The 23,727-nt window shown below is 36.0% G+C and overlaps 5 annotated features.

The window, feature by feature from the left end:
* Positions 246-1,088: an enhancer, noted in NCBI's record as "OCT4-NANOG hESC enhancer chr16:34192669-34193511 (GRCh37/hg19 assembly coordinates)". NCBI's record gives its function as "activates a minimal SCP1, AML or CMV promoter by ChIP-STARR-seq in primed H9 embryonic stem cells {active_cell/tissue: H9 hESC(primed)}" and the evidence as "EXISTENCE:reporter gene assay evidence [ECO:0000049][PMID:30033119]".
* Positions 1,089-1,931: an enhancer, noted in NCBI's record as "OCT4-NANOG hESC enhancer chr16:34191826-34192668 (GRCh37/hg19 assembly coordinates)". NCBI's record gives its function as "activates a minimal SCP1, AML or CMV promoter by ChIP-STARR-seq in primed H9 embryonic stem cells {active_cell/tissue: H9 hESC(primed)}" and the evidence as "EXISTENCE:reporter gene assay evidence [ECO:0000049][PMID:30033119]".
* Positions 1,984-2,505: an enhancer, noted in NCBI's record as "OCT4-NANOG hESC enhancer chr16:34191252-34191773 (GRCh37/hg19 assembly coordinates)". NCBI's record gives its function as "activates a minimal SCP1, AML or CMV promoter by ChIP-STARR-seq in primed H9 embryonic stem cells {active_cell/tissue: H9 hESC(primed)}" and the evidence as "EXISTENCE:reporter gene assay evidence [ECO:0000049][PMID:30033119]".
* Positions 2,931-3,816: an enhancer, noted in NCBI's record as "OCT4-NANOG hESC enhancer chr16:34189941-34190826 (GRCh37/hg19 assembly coordinates)". NCBI's record gives its function as "activates a minimal SCP1, AML or CMV promoter by ChIP-STARR-seq in primed H9 embryonic stem cells {active_cell/tissue: H9 hESC(primed)}" and the evidence as "EXISTENCE:reporter gene assay evidence [ECO:0000049][PMID:30033119]".
* Positions 4,484-5,360: an enhancer, noted in NCBI's record as "OCT4-NANOG hESC enhancer chr16:34188397-34189273 (GRCh37/hg19 assembly coordinates)". NCBI's record gives its function as "activates a minimal SCP1, AML or CMV promoter by ChIP-STARR-seq in primed H9 embryonic stem cells {active_cell/tissue: H9 hESC(primed)}" and the evidence as "EXISTENCE:reporter gene assay evidence [ECO:0000049][PMID:30033119]".

The raw sequence follows: 23,727 nt of genomic DNA, 5'->3' as shown, positions 1-23,727 counted from the left end.
TTGAAGGCACTCAAAAGGAATCATTGAATGGACTCGAAAAGAATCATCATCAAGTGGAATCAAATGGAATCATCGAACAGATTCAAAAGGAAACTTTGAATGAACTCTAATGGAATCATCATCGAATGGAACCTAATGGAATCATCGAATGGACTCGAATGGAGTCCTCATCGATTGTAATCACAGGGAATCACTGAATGGACTCGAATGGAAACTTCGAATGGCCTCAAATTTAATCATCATTAAATGGAATCGAATGTAATTATCGAATGGATTCGAATGGAATCATTGAATGGACTTGAAAGCAATCATTATCGAGTGGAATCGAATGAAATCATCAAGTGGACTCGAATGTATTCATCGAATGGCCTCGAATGAAATCATCATCGAATGGACTTGAATGGAATCATCGAATGGACTCAAATAGAATCACCATTGAGCAGAATCAAATAGAATCATCGAATGGACTCAAATGGAATAATCATCGAATGGAATCAAATGAAATCATCATCAGATGGAATAGAATGGAATCATCACTGAATGGAATCAAATGGAATCATTGAAGGGAATGAGATGGAATCATCATGGAATGGAATCAAATAGAAGCATCTAATAAAATCGAATGGAATCATCATCAAACGGACTCAAATGGAATCATCATCAAATGGAGTCGAATGGAATCATCGTCTAATGGAATCAAAAGGAATCATCAACGAATGGAATAGAATGGAAACATCATCGAATTGAATCAAATGGAATCATCATGGAATTGAATCGAATGGCTCATCATCAAATGGAATCGAATGGAATCATCGAATGGAATCATCATTGAATGGAATCTTCGAAAGGAATCGAATTGAATCATCATCGAATGGAATCAAATGGAACCATCGAATGAAATCGAATGGAATCATCATCGAAGGGAGTCAAATGGAAACATCATCAAATGTAATCTAATGTAATCATCAATGAAGGGAATCGAAAGGAATCATCATCGAATGGAATCAAATGGAATCATCAAAAGGAATGGAATCAGATGATAAAATGGACTCGAACGGAATCACTATAGAATGGAATCTAATAGATTCTTCGGATGGGCTCAAAGGGAATCATCATCGAATGGAATCGATTGGAATCATCGAATGCACTCAAATGGAATCATCATCGAATGGAATTGAATGGAATCATTGAATGGACTCGAATGGAATCATCATCAAATGGAATCCACTGGAATCATCGAATGAAATGGAATGGAATTATCGGATGGAATCGAATGGAATCATCTTTGAATGGAATGGAATGGAATCATCGAATGGAATCGAATGCAATCATCATTGAATGGAATCGAATAGAATCATCAAATGGAATCGAATGGAATCACCATTGAATGGACTCGAATGGAATCATAATTGAATAAAACCAGAAGGAGTCATAGAATGGACTGGAATGGAATCATCATCGAATGGAATCGAATGGAATCATCGCATGGAATCAAATGGAATCATCATGAAATGTAATCAAATGGAATCATCAAATGGAATTGAATGGAAACATCATCAAATGGAATCGAATGGAATCATAGAATGTTATCAAATGGAATCATCAACGAATGGGATCGAATGGAATCATCATCGAATGGAATCGATTAGAACCATCAAATGGAATCGAATGGAATCAACATCGAATGGAATCAAATGGAATCATAGAATGTTATCAAATGGAATCATCATCGAATGGAATAGAATGGAATAATCATTGAATGGAATCAAATGGAATCATCTATCGGACACGAATGGAATCATCATTGAATGGAATAGAATAGAATCATCATCGAATGGTATCCAAAGGAATCATCAAATGGATCTGAATGGAATCACCATAGAATTGAATAGAATGGAATCATCATCGATTGGAATTGAATGGAATCATCTAATGGACTGCAATAGAAACATCATCGAATGTAATCATCTATTGTACCCGAATGGAATCATCATGAAATGGAATCAAATGGGATCATCGAATGGACTCGAATAGAATCATCATCAAATGGAATCGAATGGAATCATCTAATGGAACCGAATGGAATCATCATTGAATGGAATCAAATGGAAACCACGAATGGACTAGAATGGAATCATCATCGAATATAATTGAAACAATCATCAAATGTAGTCGAATGGAAACATCGAATGGAATCAAATGGAATCATCATCGAATGAAATCACATGGAATCATTGAATGGACTCGAAAGGAATGGTCGTCAAATGGAATAGAATGGAATCATGGAATGGAATCCAATGGAATCATCTTCGAATAGAATTGAATGGAATCATCGAATGGACTCGAATGGAGTCATCATCAGATGGAATCGAATGGAATCATCGAATAGAATCGAATGTAATCGTCATCGAATGAAATCGCATTGAATTATCGAATGGACTCGAATGGAATCATCGTTGAATGGAATTGAATAGAATCATTGAATGGACTCGAATGTAATCATCATTGAATGGAATGGAATAATCAAATGGATTCGAATGTAATCATCATCGAATGAAATAGAAAGGAATCATCGAATGGAATCATCATCAAATGGAATCAAATAGAATGATCTAACGGACTGGAATGCAATCATTGTTGAATGAAATCGAAAAGAAACATCGAATAGACACGAATTGAATCATTATGGAATGGAATCGAATGGAGTCATCATCAAATGGAATCGTATAGAATCCTCATCAAATGGAATTGAATGGAATCATCGAATGCAATAGAATAGAATAATCTCAGAATGGAAACAAACGGAATCTTCAAATGAAATCAAATGGAATGATCATTGAATGGAATCAAATGGAATCATCATCAAATGGAATCAAAAAGAATCATCATCAAATGGAATGGAATGGAATCATCGAATGGACTTGAACGTAATCATCATCGAATGGAATCAAACCTAATCTTCGAATGGACTCGAATGGAATTATGATTGAATGGAACCGAATGTTGTCTTCGAATGCACTCGAATGGAAAAATCATCGAATGCAATCGAAGGGAATCATCATCGAATGGAATCGATTGGAATTATCATCGGATGGAATTGAATGGAATCGCGAATGGAATAGAATTGAGTCAACATCGAATGGAATCGAATAGAATCATCAAATGAAATCGAATGGAATCATCATCGAATGGAATCGAATGGAATCATCATCGAATGGAATCAAATCGAATCAGCATCGAATGGAATCAAATGGAATCATCAAAGAATGGAATCAAATGGAATCATCATTGACAGGAATCAGATGGAATAATCACCGAATGGAATCGAATGGAATCATTGAATGGAATCCAATGTAATCATCATCGAATTGAACCCAATGGAATCATTACATGGAGTCAAATGGAATCATCGAATTGACCCAAATGGAATCATCATTGAATGGAATAGAATGGAATCATCGAACAGAATCGAATTGAATCATCATCAAATTAAATCAAATGGAATCATAGAATGGTCTCGATTGGAATCATCATCAAATGGAATCAAAAGGAATCATCGAATGGACTTGAATGGAATCACTGAATGGACTCGAAAGGAATCATCATCGAATGGAATCAAATGGAATTATCAAATGGATATGAATGGAATCGCCATTGAATGGAATCGAATGGTATCATCGAATCGACTCTAATGGAATCATCATCAAATGGAATCGAAAGGAATAATCAAAAGTACTCGAATGGAATCATTGAATGGACTCGAATGGAATCATCACCAAATGGAATAGAATGGAATCATTGAATAGAATCGAATATAATAATCATCAAATGAAATTGCATAAAATCATGGAATGGACACGAATAGAGTTGTCATCAAATGGAATTGAATGGAATCATCGAATAGACTTCTATGGAATAATCATCAAATGGAATGGAAAGGAATCATCAAATGAAATCAATAGAATCATCATCGAATGAAATTAAATGGAATAATTGAATGGCACAAAATGGAATCATCTTCGAATGGAATAGAATGGAATCATCTAACGGACGTGAATGGAATAATCATCAAATCGAATCGAATGGAAACATTGAATGGACAAAATGGAATCATCAACGAATGGAATTGAATGGAATCATCATGAAATCAAATCGAATAGAATCGTCATTGTATGGAATCGAATGGAATCATCATCGAATGTAATTGAATGGAATCATCATCAAATGTAATTAAATGGAATCATCACTTAAAGGAATCGAATGCATTCATCATCAAATGGAACCGAACAGAGTCATCATCGAATGGAATTGAATGGAATTGTAATCAAATGGAATCGAATGGAATCATCAAATGGACACGAATGCAATCATCGACTGTGCTTCAATGGAATCATCATGGAATGGAATCAAATGGAATCATCGAATGGGCTCGAATGGAATCATCATCGAATGTAATTGAATGGAATCATCATCAAATGTAATTGAATGGAATCATCACTTAAAGGAATCGAATGCATTCATCATCAAATGGAACCGAACAGAGTCATCATCGAATGGAATTGAATGGAATTGTAATCAAATGGAATCGAATGGAATCATCAAATGGACACGAATGCAATCATCGACTGTGCTTCAATGGAATCATCATGGAATGGAATCAAATGGAATCATCGAATGGGCTCGAATGGAATCATCATCGAATGGAAACAGATGGAATCATAGAATGGACTTGAATGGAATTATTGAATGGACTCGAATGGAATCATCATTGAATGGAATTGAATGGAATCATCGAAAGGTCTGAAATGGAATCATTATCGAATGGAATCGAATGGAATCATCAAATGGAATCAAATGGAATCATCATCGAAAGGAATTGAATAGAATCGGCATCGAATAGAATAGAATGGAATCATCATCGAATGGAATCGAATGGAATTTTCATCAAATGGAAGCAAATGGAATCATCATTGAATAGATTCGAATGGGATCATCGAATAAATTGAATGGAATCTTCATCAAAAATAATCGAATAAAACAAAGAATGGAATACAACATACTCATTGAATGGAATCGAATGGAATCATCATTGAAAGGACTCGAATGGAATCATCATCGAATGGAGTCGAATGGAATCATATAATGGACTTGAATGGAATCATCAAATGTACTCGAATGGCATCATCATCGAATGGAATCATATGAAATCATGGAACACACACGAATGGAATCATCGAATGGACTCAAATGGAATCAACGTCAGCTGGAATCGAAAGGAAATATCGAATGGACTCGAATGGAAACATCATTGAATGGAATCTAATGGAATCATCGAATAGACTCGATTGGAATCGTCATTGAACGGAGTCAAATGGAATCATCGAATGGAATCAAATAGAATCATCATCAAATGGAATCAATTGGAATCATCAATGAATGGTATCCAATGGAGTCATGGAATGGAGTCCATAGGAATCATCATAGAATGGAACCGAATGCAGACAACATCAACTGGAATCAAATGGAACAATCGAATGGACTCGATGGAATCATCATCGAATGGAATCAGAAGAAATCATCGAATGGACTAGAATGGAATTATTATCGAGTGGAATTGAAAGGAATCATCCAATGGTCTTGAATGGAATCATTGAATGTACTCGAATGGAATCATCATCGAATGGAATCAAAAGAAATCATCCAATGGACTTGAATGGAATCATTGAATGTACTTGAATGGAATCACCATCGAATGCAATACAATGGAATCATCCAATGGACCCGAATGGTATCAACATTGAATGGAATCGAATGGAATCATCATCGAAAGCAATCAAATGGAATCATCAATTGGACCCGAATGGAATCATCATCGAATAGAATTGAATGGAATCATTGAATGGAATCATCACCAAATGGAGTCCAATGAAATCATCAAATACACTTGAATGGAATCATCATAGAATGGAATTGAATGAAATCATCGAATGGAATCGAATGGAATCATCATTGAATGGAATTGAATAGTATCATCGAATGCACTCGAATGGAATCATCAATGAATGGTATCATTGAATGGAATCAGGTGGAATAATCTTCAATTGGCATCAAAATAAATCACCGAATGGTCTTGAATGGAATAATCATCGAAAGGAATTGAATGGAATCATCGAATCGAATCGAACGGAATCATCATCAAACGGAATCGAATGAAATCATTGATCGGATTTGAATGGAATCATCATCAAATGGAATCAAATTGAATCATCATCGAATGGAATCGAAAAGGATCAACACCAAATGGAGTCGAATGGAATCATCATCAAATGGAATCCAAAGGAATCATCATCGAATGGAACCGAATGGAATCATCAACGAATGGAAACGAAAAGAGTCATCATCAAGTGGAATCGCATGGAATCGTCATCGAACGGAACCGAATGGAATCATCCTCAAATGGAATCTGATGGAATCATCGAATGGAATTGAATTGGAATCATCATCAAATTAATTGAATGGTATCATCGAATGGTCTTGAAAGGAATCATTATCTAATGGAATCGAAAGGAATCATCGAATGGATTCAAATGGAATCATCGAATGGACACAAATGGAATCATCATCAAATGGACTTAAAGGGAATGATCGAATGGACTCGAATTGAATCATCCATTGGACTCAAATGGAGTTATCGAATGGGCTTGAATGGAATCATCGAATGGACTCGAATGGAATCATTATTGAATGGAATCAAATGGAATCATCGAATGGAATCGAATGGAATCATTGAATGGAATCGATCAGAATCATCATGAAATGGAATCAGATGGAATCTTCGAATGGAATTGAATGCAGTCATCATCGAATGGAATCAAATGGAATCATCGTAGAATAGAATAGAATTGAATCACCAAATGGAATCGAATGCAATCATCGTCGATTGTATTCGAATGGAATCTTCAAGTGGAATCAAATGGAATCATCAAATGGAATTGAAAGGAATCAGCATTGAACGAAATTGAATGGAATCATCATTGAATAGAATTGAATGGAAACATTGAATGGAATAATCATAAAATGGAGTCCAATGGAATCATCAAATGGACTCGAATGGTATCATCGAATGGACTCGATTGGAATCATCGAATGGACTCGAATGGAATCATCATGCAATGGAATCAAATGAAATCATACTCAAATGGAATTGAATGGGATCATCACTGAAAGGAATTGAATGGAATCATCAAATTAAACCAGATGGAATCATCATCGAATGGAATCGAATGGAATCATCGAATGAAATCAAATGGAATCATCATCAAATGGAGTCGAATTAAATCATCATCGAATGTAATCCAATGGAATCATCAATGAAGGGAATCGAATGGAATTATCATTGAATGGAATCAAATGGAATCATCAATGAATGGAATCCAATGGAATCATCGAATGAAATCTAATGGAATCTTCATCAAATGGAATCTTATGGAATCATCGAATGGACACGCATGGAATCATCATCAAAAGAAATCGAATGTAATCATAGAATGAAATCAAATGGAATCATCATTGAATGGAATCGAATAGAATCATCGAATGGAATCAAATGGAATTATCAAATAATGGAATCGAATGGAATCATTTAATCGACTCGAATGGAATCTTCATCGAATGTAATCGAATGGAATCATCCAATGGCCTTGAATGGAATCATCATCAAATGCAATCTAACGGCATCATGGAATGGAATCAAATGGAATCATCATCGCATGGAATCAAATGGAATCATCAAATGGAATCGAATGGAATCATCGAATGGTACCGAATGCAGTCATTCTCGAATGGAATCGAATGGAATCATTGAATGGACTCAAATGCAATCATCATCGAATGGAATCGAATGGAATCATGGAATGGACTCGAATACAATCATTGAATAGACACGAATGGAATCATCATCAAATGGAATAGAATGGAATCATCGAATGGACTCGAATGGAATTATCATTGAATGGAATCGAATGGAATCACTGAACGAATTTGAATGGAATCATCATTGAATGGAAAGGAATCTCATCATTGAATGTATTCGAATGGAATCATCATCGAATGGAATCATGTGGAATCGTCGAATGAACTCGTAATGAATCATAATCGAATGGAATCATAAGGAATCATCATCGAATGGAATCACATGGAATCATCATCGAATGGAATCATGCGGAATCATCATAGAATGGAATTGAATGGAATCATCAGTTGGACTCGAATGGAATCATAAAATGGATGAAAAGGGAAGCATCGAATGGACTCAAACCGAATCATCATCGAATGGAATCAAATGGAATCACTGAAAGGACTCGAATCGAAACATCAAATGGACTCAAATGGAATCATTATAGAATGGAATTGAAAAGAGTCCTTGGATGGACTTGAATGGAATCATCTTTGAATGGAATCGATTGGAATCATCGAATGCACTCGAATGGAATCATCATCAAATGGAATTGAATGGCGTCATTGAATGGACTTGAATGGAATCATCATCAAATGGAATCCATAGGAATCATAGGATGAAATCAAATGGAATTATCGAATTGAATCGAATGGAATCATCTTTGAATGGAATCAAATGGAATCATCGAATGGAATCGAATGCAATCATCATTGAATGGAATCAAATGGAATCATCAAATGGAATCTAATTTAAACACCATTGACTCAATGGACTCAAGTGGAAACATCATTGAATAGAATCAGAAGGAATCATTGAATGGACTCGAATGGAATCATCATTGAATAGAATCAAATGGAATCATCGAATGGAATTGAATGGAATCATCATCAAATGTAATTAAATGGAATCATCCAATTGAATCGAACGGAATCATCATCAAGTGGAATCGAATAGGATCAGTGAATGAAATCGAATGGAATCAACATTGAATGGAATCAAATGGAATCATTAGCGAATGGAATTGAAAGCAATCATTGAATGGACTCGAATAGAAACATCAAATGGACTTGAATGGAACCAACATTGAATGGAGTAGAATGGAATCATTGAATGGACCTAAATGAAATCATCATCGAATGGAATAGAATGGAATCAACTAATTTACAAGAATGGAATCATCATCGAATAGAATAGAATGGAATCAACTAATTTACACGAATGGAATCATCATCAAATGGAATAAAAATGGAATCATCAACGAATGGAATGTAATGGAATCACCTAATGGACACGAATGGAATCATCATTGAATGGAATAGAAACGAATCGTCATCGAATGGAATCCAATGGAATTATCAAATGGATCGGAATGGAATCATCAGAGAATTGAATAGCATGTAATCATCATCGAATGGAATTGAAAGGAATCATCTAATGAACAGGAATAGAATCATCATTGAATGGAATCATCTTTTGTACCCGAATGGATTCATCATGGAATGGAATAGAATGGAATCATAGAGTGGAAACAAATGGAATCACCATTGTATGGAATCGAGTGGAATCATCATTGAATGGAATAGAATGGAATCATTGGAGAATGGAATTGAATGGAATCATCGAATGAACTCGAATGGAATCATCATCGAATGGAATCGAATGGAATCATCTAATGGACCCCAATGGAATCATCATCGAATGGAATTGAATGGAATCATCGAATGGACTCGAATGGAATCATCATCGAATGGAATCGAATGGAATCACCTAATCTACCCGAATGGAATCCTCATCGAATGGAACTGAATGGAATCATCGAATGGACTTGAATGCAATCATCAACGAATATAATTGAAAACAATCATCAAATGGATTCGAATGGAATCATCGAATTGACTCAAATGGAATCATCATGGAATGAAATCAAACGGAAACATCGAATGGACACGAATGGAATATTCATTGAATGGAATTGAATGGAATCATTGAATGGAATCAAATGGAATCATCATTGAATAGAATTCAATGGAATTATCGAATGGACTCGAATGGAATCATCATCAAATGGAATCGAATGGAATCATCGAATAGAATCGAAAGTAATCGTCTTCGAATGAAATCGCATTGAATTATCGAATGAACTGGAATGGAATCATCATAGAATGGAATCGAATGGAATCGTCAAATGGACTCAAATGGAATCATCATCGAATGGAATGGAATGGAATCATCAAGTGGATTTGAATGGAATCATCATTGAATGAAATCGAATAGAATGATCTAACTGACTCGAATGGAATCATCGTCAAATGGAATCAAATGGAAGCCTCGAATGGACACGAATGGAATCATTATCAAATGGAAACGAATGTAATCATCATCAAATGGAATCGAATAGAATCCTCATCGAATGGAATAGAATAGAATCATCTCAGAATGGAAACAAATGTAATCATTGAATGAAATCAAATTGAATCATCATCAAATTGAATTGAATGGAATCTTCATCAAATGGTATCGAATAGAATCATCATCAAATAGAATGGAATGGAATCATCGAATGGATAGGAAAGGAATCATCATCAAATGGAATCGAGTATAATCTTCGAATGGACCCGAATGGAATCATGATTGAATGGAATCGAATGGAATCTTCGAATGCACTCGAATGGAATCATCATCGAATGCAATCAAATGGAATCAGCATCAAATGGAATCAAATGGAATCATCATCGAATGGAATTGAAAGGAATCCTCGAATGGAATATAATTGAATCATCATCAAATGGAATCGAATAGAATCATCGAATAAAATCGAATGGAATCATCATCAAATGGAATCGAATGGAGTCATAATCGAATGGAATCGAATGGAATCGAATGGAATCATCATCGAATGGAATCGAATGGAATCATCAACGAATGGAATTGAATGGAATCATCATTGACATGAATCGAATGGAATAATCAACGAATGGAATAGAATGGAATCATTGAATGGAATCCCATGTAATCATCATTGAATTGAAACCAATGGAATCATTACCTGGACTCGAATTGCATCTTCGAACAGACTCAAATGGAATAATCATTGAATCAAAAAGAATGGAATGATCGAACAGAATCGAATGGAATCATCGAACAGAATTGAATGGAATCATCATCGAATGAAATCAAACGGAATCATCGAATGGACTTGAATGGAATCATCATCGAATGGAATTGAATGGAATCATCAAATGATCTCGAATGGAATCATCATCGAATGCAATCAAAAGGAAACATCAAATGGGCTTCAATGGAATCATTGAATGGACTCGAATGGAATCATCATCAAATGGTATTGAATGGAATCATCCAATGGAAATGAATGGAATCATCATCGAATGGAATCAAATAGAAACATCATTGATTAGAATCGAATGGAATCATTATCAAATGGAATCTAATGAAGTCATCAACGAATGGAATCTAATGGAGTCATCATCTAAAGGAATAGAATGGAATCAGCAAGGAATGGAATCGAATGGAGAAATCGAATGTAATCTGTTGGAATCATCATTGAATGGAACTGAATGTAGTCATCAGAGAATGGAATCGAATGGAATTAATGAAGGGACTCGAGTGGAATCATCATTGAATTGAATCAGATGGAATCATTGAATGGAATCGAATGGAAACATCATCAAATGGAATCGAATGGAATCATCGAATGCACTCTAATGGAATTATCATTGAATGGAATCAAATGGAATCAAATGGAATCATTGAATGGACTCTAATGGAATCATCATGGAATGGAATTGAACGGAATCATCAAATGGACTCGAATGGAATCATTGAATGGACTCGAATGGAATCATCATTGAATGGAATCGAGTGAAATCCTCAAATGGAATCAAATGGAATCATCAATTGGAATCGAATGGAATCATCATCAAATGGAATCGAATGGAATCATCTAATGGAATCGAACGCAATCAACAATGAATGGAATTGAATGGAATCATCACCGAATAGAATCAAATGGAATCATCGAATAGAATCGAATGGAATCATCGTCAAGTTTAATTGAGTGGAATCATCGAATGGAATCGAGTGGAATCATTGTCGATTGGAATGGAATGGAAATGAATGGAAATGAATGGAATCACCAATTAATGGAATCGAATGGAATCATCATCGAATGGAATTGAATGGAATCATTGAATGGACTAGAATGCAATCATCATTGAATGGAATCACATGGAATCATCATCAAATGAAATCATACGGAATCATCATTGATGGGAATTGAATGGAATGAAAAATTGGACTCGAATGGAATCATCAAAAGAACTCGAATGGAAGCGTCAAATGGACTCGAATGGAATCATCATTGAATGGAATCAAATTGAATCATCTAATGGACTAGAATGGAATAATCATCGAATAGAATTGAATGGAATCATAGAATGGACTCGAATGGAATCATCATCAGATGGAATCGAATGGAGTCATTGAATAGAATCGAATGAATCATCATAAAATGAAATTGCATTGAATCATTGAATAGACAAGAATGGAGTCATCATCGAATGGAATCGAGTGGAATCATTGAATGGACTCGAATGGAATAATCATCGAATGGAATGGAAAGGAATCATCAAAAAGAAATCAATGGAATCATTATCGAATGAAATCAAATGGAATAATCGAATGACACGGAATGGAATGATCATCGAATGGAATCAAATGGAATCATCTGACGGACTCGAATGGAATAATCATCAGTTGGTATCGAATGGAAACATCAAATGGACACAAATGGAATCATCACTGAAAGGAATAGAATGGAATCATCATCAAATGGAATCGAATAGAATCACCATCGAATGGAATCGAATGGAATCATCGAAGGTAATAGAATGGAATCATCATCGAATGGACACAAATGGAATGATCGAATGAAATCAAATGGAATAATCATCGAATGGAATCCAATGGAATCATCATCGAATGTAACTGAATGAAATCATCACTGAAAGGAATCGAATGGATTCATGATCAAATGGAACCAAACAGAGTCATCATTGAATGGAATTGAATGGAATCATAATCGAATGGAATCGAATGGAATCATCAAATGAACTCTAATGCAGTCATTGACTGGGCTTCAATGGAATCATCATGGAATGGAATCGAATGGAATCATCGAACGGACTCGATTGGAATCATCATTGAATGGAATCAAGTGGAATCCTCGAATGGAATCAAATGGAATCATCAAATGGAATCGAACAGATTTATAAGAAACTTAGTTGAACCAAAAAATAGAAAAACAAACAAACCAAAACCCACTAAAACTGTGATGAGCAAAGTAGACATCAGAACAGGAAATATCACTGGGGATGAAGAATAACATTTCAAAATGACAAAGGGGAAAATACACCAAGAAGTCATGTAAATAAGAAATATGTATGCACACAATAGCATTACTTCAAAATACATAATATTAAACCTATTAAAACTGAAAGGTAAAATAATAAAACCACAGTCATCCATGGGGATTTCCACAGTCTCCTGCCAGAAATTTTTAAATTTTGTTAAACGAAAAGTTGGTAAGGGTAGAGAGGATCTTATAAATATAATTAGCCAACTTGATCTAACTGAATCTTTTAGAATAATCTAAGGATGAGGAATGAGGTAGCAGAGAAAGAAAAGGCAGACATCAACGTGACATTAGTGTTTCAAGGCTATGAGAATACACCAATAATGGTGTGTGTGTGTGTGCAGACGGTAAGCTCAATCTTAAAAATATTGAGTTTTAACTGACAATTCATTATTAGGAAAGATAAGAGGAAATGATATCTAGTGAGAGACTATATGACTGAACTCTAAGAGAAAGGTCACAGCAGAAATTGTGTACTTGACAGCTCTATAAACAGGTCAGTCGAAAATAAGTCAGTGATGAATTCTCTGGTGTAAAAGCAGAGGAATGAGGATTAGATTTAAAACACATGGAAGCAGAGTGACTTATGATAAAAACATGAGCTTGAAAATCCTGCAGAGAGGGCTTTAAATACTGGGTATGATATTCTGCTTGTGTAGGCAATAGTGATAAAAACACAACAACAAAGAGAGGTAAAGAGCAATTTCCTTTGATGTAAGTAAAGGGCACGTCTTATTGCACATATTTATATATATATAGGTATTCAACTGAGATTCAACATTTTTCTCTCATTGAAACAGCAAGCTCTCCAGGCCTTCATGTTCCCAGTGAGGTAGGTAAACTTCTGATGATTATACTCACCCTCCCTCATTGCAAAGCTCCCGTTGTTATTATCTTGGCTCTGGATTCCCTCAAAAATAGACTATGAAACAAATATCTGGGGTCAGATACTTTAATCAGAAATTGAGTGAGAAAGCACAGAAGTGGAGAAAATGAAACAGAACACGAAGCCAGTGTGAATGAGTAGTTACTGCTATGTGCTCCGTAATGATGGAGGTATGGACATTGTCTCAAAAAAACTTTACAAAGAGATGAGGATGCTGGAATCCCCATCTCTTATTGCTTAAGGATTGCCTTAGAATCATTAACTCCCCACCCCTAACTCCTTCTTTGTTCCTATGTGTGGTTGAGAAGCACTGGTTACCCTCAAGAAGCTTGCAGGCAGGCCCAAAAATCAGAAAGACAGGCATGATGTGGGGAGCTCTAAGTTAGCTGGAAACAGGTGAATTCCAGGTGAACACATTGAGTCCAGGACATAGAAGACAAGTCATCAGCAATATCTGCTATAGCCAGTTTTCTTTTTCTTTTTAAGAACATATATACTTTCTATTGGGGGTCCCCAATTCGCCCTTTGGTTTAAAGATTCACATAACTCAAAAAAGCTGATTTTTTCTGTGGTTATAGTTTCTAACAGTGAAAGAAACCAGATTAAAATAATCAGAAGCATAAAAGCACGTAAAGTTGAGTCCAGGACAAACCAGATGTGAGCTTACAGGTGTCCTTTCATAGTGGGGACTTCACACTGACTAATTTTCTTTACAATGGTGTGAGACAACCTGTGTGAACTTCTTGCCAACTAGGGAAGCTCAGTCAGTCTTGAGTCCAGGGTTTTTATTAGGAATCCACCACATATACATTGAGCGTCCTGTGACTGAACTTAGCTACTTAGTTCCCAACCTCCCTATGCCGTAAGAGAGGTCATATTAATATGGCATTACACAAAGTCATAGGCATACAGAAACAGGTGCTCACAAGAAATCACGTTGTTAGCATCAGCTATTTGATATGACCTACTTTTTCAGGTATACAAAGACTCTCATCAGGCAGCATATACCAAGGGCTCATAGGTTATCATCTGCCAGGAGCTTCTCAAGGGCCAGTTCTGAAGACCTTTGGAATGTGCAAGGTTTTGGAAAGCCATGTCTGCAGAATTAACCCTTCATTACACAATATCCAAGAATTTTTTTAACTTTAAAAATGTTTTTTGATCTTTGACAATGTACCAACCAATACTGAGTAACCAATAATTAGTAACAACAGTGTACTCCTGAGTACTTGCACCTGCAAGGAGAAAAAGGACAGATGCACTTACATAGGACAGATGCAAATAGACACCACTATGACAAGTAAAGCTGGAATAATCAATAAATTCCTAAAGACAAAGTGGGGCTGGTGAGATTGGGAGATGGCTGACAGCTGCAGAAGTTGGGAAAGATCCATCATCTTGAAAACTTTTTCCCCACAAACCCACTGTGATCTCTCAAGCAATTGGTAAGGAATCCAAGAGAGTCTGTATATGACACAGATCAGGGAGAGCAGAACACTTGGGAGGTGACGAGGTCTTGGGGGCCGAGCCCTTATGAATGGGATTAGTGACTTTATAAAAGAAGCTCAATAGAGTTCTTGTGTGCCTCCCACTATGTGAGGACATAGAAAGAAGGCACCATCTATGAACCATGAAATTGGGTCTCATCAACATTGAATTTGTAAGCATCTTGGCCTGAGATCTTACAGCCTCAAGAAGTGTGAAAAAAGAAATATCTGTTGTTTTTTAGTCACCCAGTTTATGTTATTTTGTTATAAGAGTCCACATAGACCAAGATATTCCACTTAATATGTAGGGGAAGGCAACAAAAACTGCCACACATAGAATACTCCTGATGCTGGGAGTATGAAAACAGGAAAAACAAAACAAAACTGCTCTTGAAGGTGAAGGAGGAATATCACTGAGCTCACCAACACAGCCAGGAAAAGAACAGAAGTGTGAGAATGCTACATTCGTGAGACCCTGAGAAAAAGTACCTGCATAAGACTGAGATGAAATTACCTACTCTAGTTATGATTGAAATCCCAAAAAGAAAAGAGGGAAAAATAATGGAGCAAAAGAAAAATTTTTCAAAATAACTGCCAAAAATATTCTAAAAGAAGTGACAGAAAATCAAACTTCAAATCTAGGAAAACTCAGAGAATGTCAAATAGAACAAAAAGAAATAAGAATTACATCTTGAAAAATCTTTAAAAAATCAAGTCTAAATTTTATATCTTGCTCCAAATATATAGAGATATAAATAGGTTATCATCAAGATATGGAGAAAGCTATATCATGGAAATACTAAAATAAGGCTGTGGAAGGACTACATTGATATTAGACACAACAGAGTTCGGAACAAGAAATAGTATCAGAGATGAGAGATAATAGATAATAGAATAATCAATTCTCAAGAAGATGTAAATATCCTACTAAGTAGGGTATGCAACTAACAACAGAACCTCCAAATACATGACGTAAAACAGGAAAGAAATCAAAGGTGAACTAGAAAAATCCAAAATTATATTTGCAGACTTCAAGACTTTTGTCTTAGTAATGGAAACACTAGACACAAACTCAGTAATCATGTGGAAGATAAGAACAACAATATCACCAACAAGACATCCGATCTTCAATGGCAGATACTCTTTCCTTTCAAGTGAAAAAAAAAACAGTATGGCATATTCTCTAACAAACCCAGAATTTCTAATATTTGGGTTCTTCCTTCCTTCTTTCCATCTTCCTTTCTCTTCTCTTCCCTTCCCTTACCTTCTTCCTTCCTTTCTTCTTTTCCTCTTCCTTTTCTTTTCTTTTTTCTTTTCCTTTCTTTCTTTTCTTTGTTTTTCTCCTTCCTTCCTTCTTTCCTTCTTTCTTTCCTTCCTCTTATTCTTCCTTCCCTCCTCCTTCCCTTCCTTTCTCCCTCCATTTTCCTCCGTCTTTTCTCATATTCTTTCTTTCTCACGTTCTTGCTTTCTTTCCTTTTTTCTCCCTTCCTCCCACCCTCCTTTTCTTCCTCCCTCCCTCCCTTCCTTTCCTCTTTTTCCTTCCTTCCTTCTCCTCTTTATTTTCCATGTTTCTTTGCATTCCTCCCTTTTACCATTCTCTTTTCCTCCTTTCCTTCCTCCCTTCCTCCTTTCTTTCTTTCTTTCTCTCTTTCTCTCTTTCTTTCTCTCTTTCCCTCTTTCTTTCTCTTTCTTTCTTTCTTTGTTTCCTTCTTTCTTTCTTTTCTTTCTTTCTTTCTTTCTTTCTTTCTTTCTTTCTTTCTTTCTCTCTTTCCTTCTTTCCTTCTTTCTTTCTTGTGTTCATGCTTTCTTTTTTCTCCCTTCCTGCCTTTCTCCCTTCCTCCCTCCCTCCCTTCTTCCATCATTTCCTCCTTCTTTTCTTTCTTCTTTCTTTATTTCTTTCCTTCCTTCTTTCGTTCCTTTTTCTTTCTTTGTTTTCTTTTCTTTCTTTCTCTTTACTACAATTCATATTATTTTTAAAAAACTAAGAGAGGGAGACAGAAAAATGAGGAACGCTTTAATCTACAAGTAAACATATTATGTCTGCTGTAGGCAAAAGAATGGCCTCCCAAAAATTTTCATGTCCTAATTCCCAGAGTCTAACATACAAATATGATACGTTGCACGGCAGTGTGAAATTAGATTTCAAGTGAAATTAAGGTTGCGGGAAAATGATAGAGAGGTTTTCTTAAGTGGGTGGGATCAATGAAATGACAAACTTCCTTATAAGTGAAAGAAGAAGGCAGAAGAAAGACAACCTTGGAGGTGGTGGCATGAGAAATTACTCAACATCACTGACTTTTAAGATACAAGAATGAGGACCCAGCGCGGTGGCTCATGCCTAATCCCAGCACTTTGGGAGGCTGGGGTGGGTTTATCACGAGGTCAGGAGATCGAGACCATCCTGGCTAACATGGTGAAACCCCATCCCTACTAAAAATACAAAAAAATAACGGGCATGGTGGCAAGTGCCTGTAGTCCAAGATACTCAGGAAGCTGAGGCAGAAGAATCACTTGAACCCGGGAGGCAGAGGTTGCAGTGAGCTGAGATCGTGCCACTGCACTCCAGCCTGGGTGACAGAAGGAGACTCCATCACCAAAAAATAAAAAAGGAAAATAGGATATAAGAAAGAGGTCATCTTCCAAGGAATAAAGGTGGCCTCTGGAAGCTGAAAAAAATCAAGAAATAGATTCTGCCACATAGCCCTCAGAAAGACTGCAGCCCTGCCCAAAACTTGATGTTAGCCCAGTGAGTTTCATTTAAGGCTTCTGAACTACAGAACTGTAGGATTAACGGTCACCTTATTGTAAGAGATGAAGTTTGTGGTAATTGGTTACAGCAGCAAGAGGAAGTTTATATTGTAATTGTATCATGAAAATGAGAACCATAATTTACAACTGCTTTTAATACTGCACTTGGATGTTTGAAATCACGTACATGGAAATGATCTCTTATGTGCATGAGGGAGGATAACAAATTGATGCCAAAATAATGCAAATGCAAATCTTACACTCATTTCTATGTAGGATTCATTTAATCTTTGAAATTAAAATGAAATTAAAAGATTGTGATATTTTGATGAAATTAGACTAAAATGAACAATAACAAAATAAGAACTTACTTATATTCTTTATATGGTCAATAAAGAAGTGATAGTGGAAAAAAACAAGATCAAATGAAGGTGATGATTTAGGAAGTGGGAAAGATAGCTGAAACTACAAAATGGTATATAACCAGTGAACACTTAGACACACTGATTAATGAACTTCAGCTTTTGGCTTTGTGAGAGTATAAAATGAGAGCAACTGAGGTTTGCAAATTTGTAATCTCCTTGTGGAAAACCAGGGGAAAACACATCTCAGCCTAATAAGATTTATCTACTAAAGAATCTAGACTTGATCCATTTGTCCTTGTAATTCAAAAGCTAATTCAAATACTGATGTGATGTATTGTGTGAACAACCATTGCTGATTTTCATCGCATACCTGGCATTCTCTTTTACCTGATATCTAAAATATTTGGTAATTCTTGGACTTTCTCTTTTCAAACCCAGTATGGTTTAATTTGAGTCTTAGAACAGTTGTCTTTGAGAAATTCTTCCCTCTATTTCATCTGTGAATGGGCATAGCATGGTTACATACATACTCTCACTCCATAGAACATTTGTTAAATTAAAGCCAAAGTTTAAAGGAAGAACTTTAACTTACTGGTTTTACTAATGTTTTCCTCCCCAATAGCCACAACAGTATTGATACCCTCACACCTTTTAACATGAACCTTGGTGTTGTCTATTTTTCAGGTGCTGTCATCTATATGATCTCAGTATTTTAAAAATCAGCTTCCAGCCCATATGGTGGTTCATGCTTGTAATACCAGCAGTTGAAGAGGCTAAAATGAGAGGATTCCTTGAGCCCAGGATTTCAAAAGTAACCTGGGCAACATAGCAAGACCCAGTCTCTATCAAAGGTTAAAAAAAAAAAGTGGGCATGGTGATGTGCACCTGTTGTCCTAGCTATTTGGGAGGCCAAGGTGGAAGGATTGCTTGAGCTTGGGAGGCTGAGGCTGCAGTGAGCAGTGATTGCACCACTGCACTCCAGCCTGGGCAAAAAAGCAAGACCGTATCTCAAAAAAAAAAAAAAAAAAAAAAAAAAAAAAATATATATATATATATATATATATATATATATATATATATATATATAATAAAAATAAAAATCAGCTCTCATTGATTTCTATGTAAATATGCACAGGTGATGTCCACATAGACATAAGTAATAATATTTCTGACAATGGGTCCTTATGATCTTCAAAATGTAAAATGTCTATGTGGATAATTGACTGGTCAGTCTCATTAATGAATACAGATTCAATTCTACTTTCTTGTTCTACATAAATTATATAATCTAGCTTTTCATTTCACTTATTTACTGATAACAAGAGGAAGAATGACAAGATATCTGTTTTGGAAAATTACTCTGGTAGGAGTAAAGATGAAACAATGATAGAAATGCACCGAAAACTAGAAAAAAGTATGGTCTTCTGATATTCTATCACGTCACATACTAAAGGCCTCATAAAACTAAGATGTTTTATCTAAAAATGTTATTTTCATCATAGGAATGATCAAAGCATGAGACAACAGTTGTATTAAAATGTGCTTGTATCACAAGCACAGGTGCTAAAAAGGAGGGGAAAACATCATTACTGATATTTTCAACGTATGTTTTACTTTCGGTCAACATGAACCTCAACTTGATATGATGCAGATTGAAGGAAACCACCCATAATTCCATATGAAGAAGGCCTGTGATATTTTATGGGAAAATAAATAGAGAAAATGCTAACAGAAACCCTATTAAGCATGAAGCTTTACGGAGCAAACACAAATCCAGTGGTGAAAGATACACACTCGAGTTCTGTTTGTTGTCTTGGAACAATACGGTTTAGAGGTGAATGGCGGGTGAGGAGAACATATGCGAGTTCACCAAAGAGAAAAGCTGAATGAGGCAATGCCTCTTCCTGACCATATCTCTTACTCAGATAACTATATAATTTATTGTCCAGTAAAGGGTATATTAAAAAATCATATTAAAAGTCATGCAGTGAAGTTGTCCAGGGAAATCAAGACTTAACAGTCTCACTCTGACAATAATGAACAGGGGGTTCCCTCAAGATAGTCTAGGACATGACCCCACCCTGGCAGACAGTAGTACCAGAAAACAACACATGGAGAATCTTTACCTTATGCTTGAGGTAGGGACCAGGCTAAAGTGAAAGCCAGACATAAAATTCTATCTAAAATAAATCCACAATCGAAGAAAATATGTGGTATACAGGCATAGAATGTCTTTACTGGATCATTGAAATAGTAAGATAAATTCAACATTTACATTGTTTTCTTTTCCTCCAGTTAGGGCTTGAGGTTTGTCTCTGGAGAGTGACTGTCAATTGGAGCCCTGCCTTTCTGGGTTTCTGGTCAGGGGGTTGTGGATGCTTAACATGTGCCTTCCACAGGACACTTCCTTACCCCAGCAGTGGCCAGGTGTGCATCCCACGACCAGGCCTCCCTCTCACAGAACATTTGTTGAGACTAGGAGATGCCTGGTGACTGTTGCCTGACCTGTGTCCTGTGTATTTCTGACAAGAGCCACTCTCAGAGACCTTGGCCAGTAGGAGAGTTAGGTTCCAGTGTAGGTCAGCTCAGACCCATGGAGGCCACAGAACCAAACATGGGAAATCACAGAAGTAGGTTTATTACTCAAAGATCCAGAGAGAAGAGGGTAGCTGAGAAGAGGGTTTAGCTGTGTCCCCAGCCAAATCTCATCTTGAATTCCCACATGTTGTGGGAGGGAACAGGTCAGGTAATTGAATCATGGGGGCAGGTCTTTCCCATGCTGTTCTTCTGATAGTGAATAAGTCTCAGAAGATCTGATGGTTTTATAAAGGGGGGTTTCCCTGCACAAGCTCTCTTGTCTTGTCTGCTGCCATGTGAGACGTGCCTTTCAACTTGCACCATGATTGTGAGGCCTACCCAGCCATGTGGAACTGTGCATCTATTAAACCTTTTTCTTCTGGAAATTACCCAGTCTTGGGCATGTCTTAACCGGGGGTGTGAAAATGGACTAATAGAGTAGCACACCTCATAGGGCTGAACAAAATGGGGAAGATGAGTGGGGAGCAGGAGAGAGAAAATTGATCTTTGGGACTCCAGCCTTTATTGGGCCCAGAACATTACCCAAATAAGTTTTCCATGGGGCACTAGTCGGTGGGTTGAGTGCCAGCAGGCACATTTCTTGACTCCCGCTGCAACCGAGCAGGTCACTCTGTCGTGTGGGGTCTGTCCATGTGCACTGTGAGCTCTGTGGGGTGAGTCAGGTAGGTTGTATCCAACGGTTCCATAGCTGGTAGTCACCAGGAGGAGGCAACTGTGTAGGGTCCATATCTGGACCAGCCACACTGAGGAACTGTGAGGGTTAGAACTGGAAATTGTCAAGGGAATCTGAACCCAGCTAACATATGAGAGAGTTCAACTTATGTTCAATGTGAATGCCATGGCAATATTAAAAGGTAACAACTCGTTCCATACGTGCTTGAGGTAAATAGGAGATACCTAGAATTTATGTAAACAGTGAGAAATTGGATGCGTTTTCCGTCTCATATTTTAATACTAGCAGCATATTCTATATGTCAATCCATCAGGCATTCAGAAATACATGCTTATGAAAATTTTTTGCACCATCAGAAAAAAGACAAGGGTAGAAGATATTTGTAACCCTATAAACACTAGTAAATAAAAAACCGAAGGAGCTTTATGTCCTAACATATCTGTGTTGTGAAAGGCTACCCTGTGAAATACATGATTTCTTAAACATATTTTAAAAATCATAGGTGTCAATGTTTTTTAGAAATCCATTTAAATTTTCTCTTGCTATTTTACAATGCATTTTTATTTATTTAGTGGCTCTGCTGATTTTGATGTATATCCTAAACTTTATATTTTCTTTAAAGGATGTTTTATACAACTTTATGTAAAATGTTTCAGTATCTTCACACTCTCTCCCTGTCCTTTTGTTTTGCTCTTATATGGTGATCTTGAGTCTTTTCTCTGGCTTTTCAAACCTAGTAAGACTAAGACACTAAAGTAACTTTGCCCGTGGTTTGGTAATGCCTTCTAAAGCACATCCTAAGCTCTAGTGCATACAGTGGTCTCCTTTGAGCTCTTCGCTTTTGAGATCCCATATACCGAAATTCCAGTACTCCAAATCAGTACTGCTTAGTTTTAGTTACTAAGTTTAAAAATGTATTTTAATAGCAAGTTAGTTTAGTGCACTCTTGCTTCTTTCTTGACTGCTTTTGTACATGTATATTCCTTTAAATGAATCTTGGAATTTATTTAAAAATTTTAAATTATACTAATGAAACTGTATATTGTTGTGAATTCATAAGTGAATTTGGAAAGAATTTGTCTTTATGATACTAAATCCTTTTTATCCAAGAATCATATGAGTCTTTGTAATTATTGCAGTCTATATTTATATCACTGAGTAAATATATAGAAATGTAGATACATACAGCTGTAGTTGTAGATACAAATATGGATATAACATGTTAAATCTATATCTATCCCATATAACATATATACATGTTATATGTGTGTGTGTGTATATATATATGTTTATGTTATTAAAGAGCTCCCTTAAAATTTTTCTTTTACTTCCTATATAATTTTAGGTCGAGCTTGAATTTTCGTAGTATAAACAAGCAAATAATTATACTAGTTTTAATACTGATGTTGAGACATTGTATCTTATTTTTGCATTGAATATTTTCACAATTATTATAAATATTATCTAATATTAATAATATACCTGTTAAAAATATTTAAAATTTTAACTTTGAATTATTTTATTGTTGAATTAAAATTCCTTTAATATGATAGTAAATTTCTATTTTATGCTTTCTCTATGC

Source organism: Homo sapiens, chromosome 16 (genome assembly GCF_000001405.40).
Source record: "Homo sapiens chromosome 16, GRCh38.p14 Primary Assembly".
Lineage (NCBI taxonomy): Eukaryota > Metazoa > Chordata > Mammalia > Primates > Hominidae > Homo > Homo sapiens.
The sequence above is the reverse complement of the archived record's forward strand: the minus strand, read 5'-3'. Positions and strand labels throughout refer to the sequence as shown.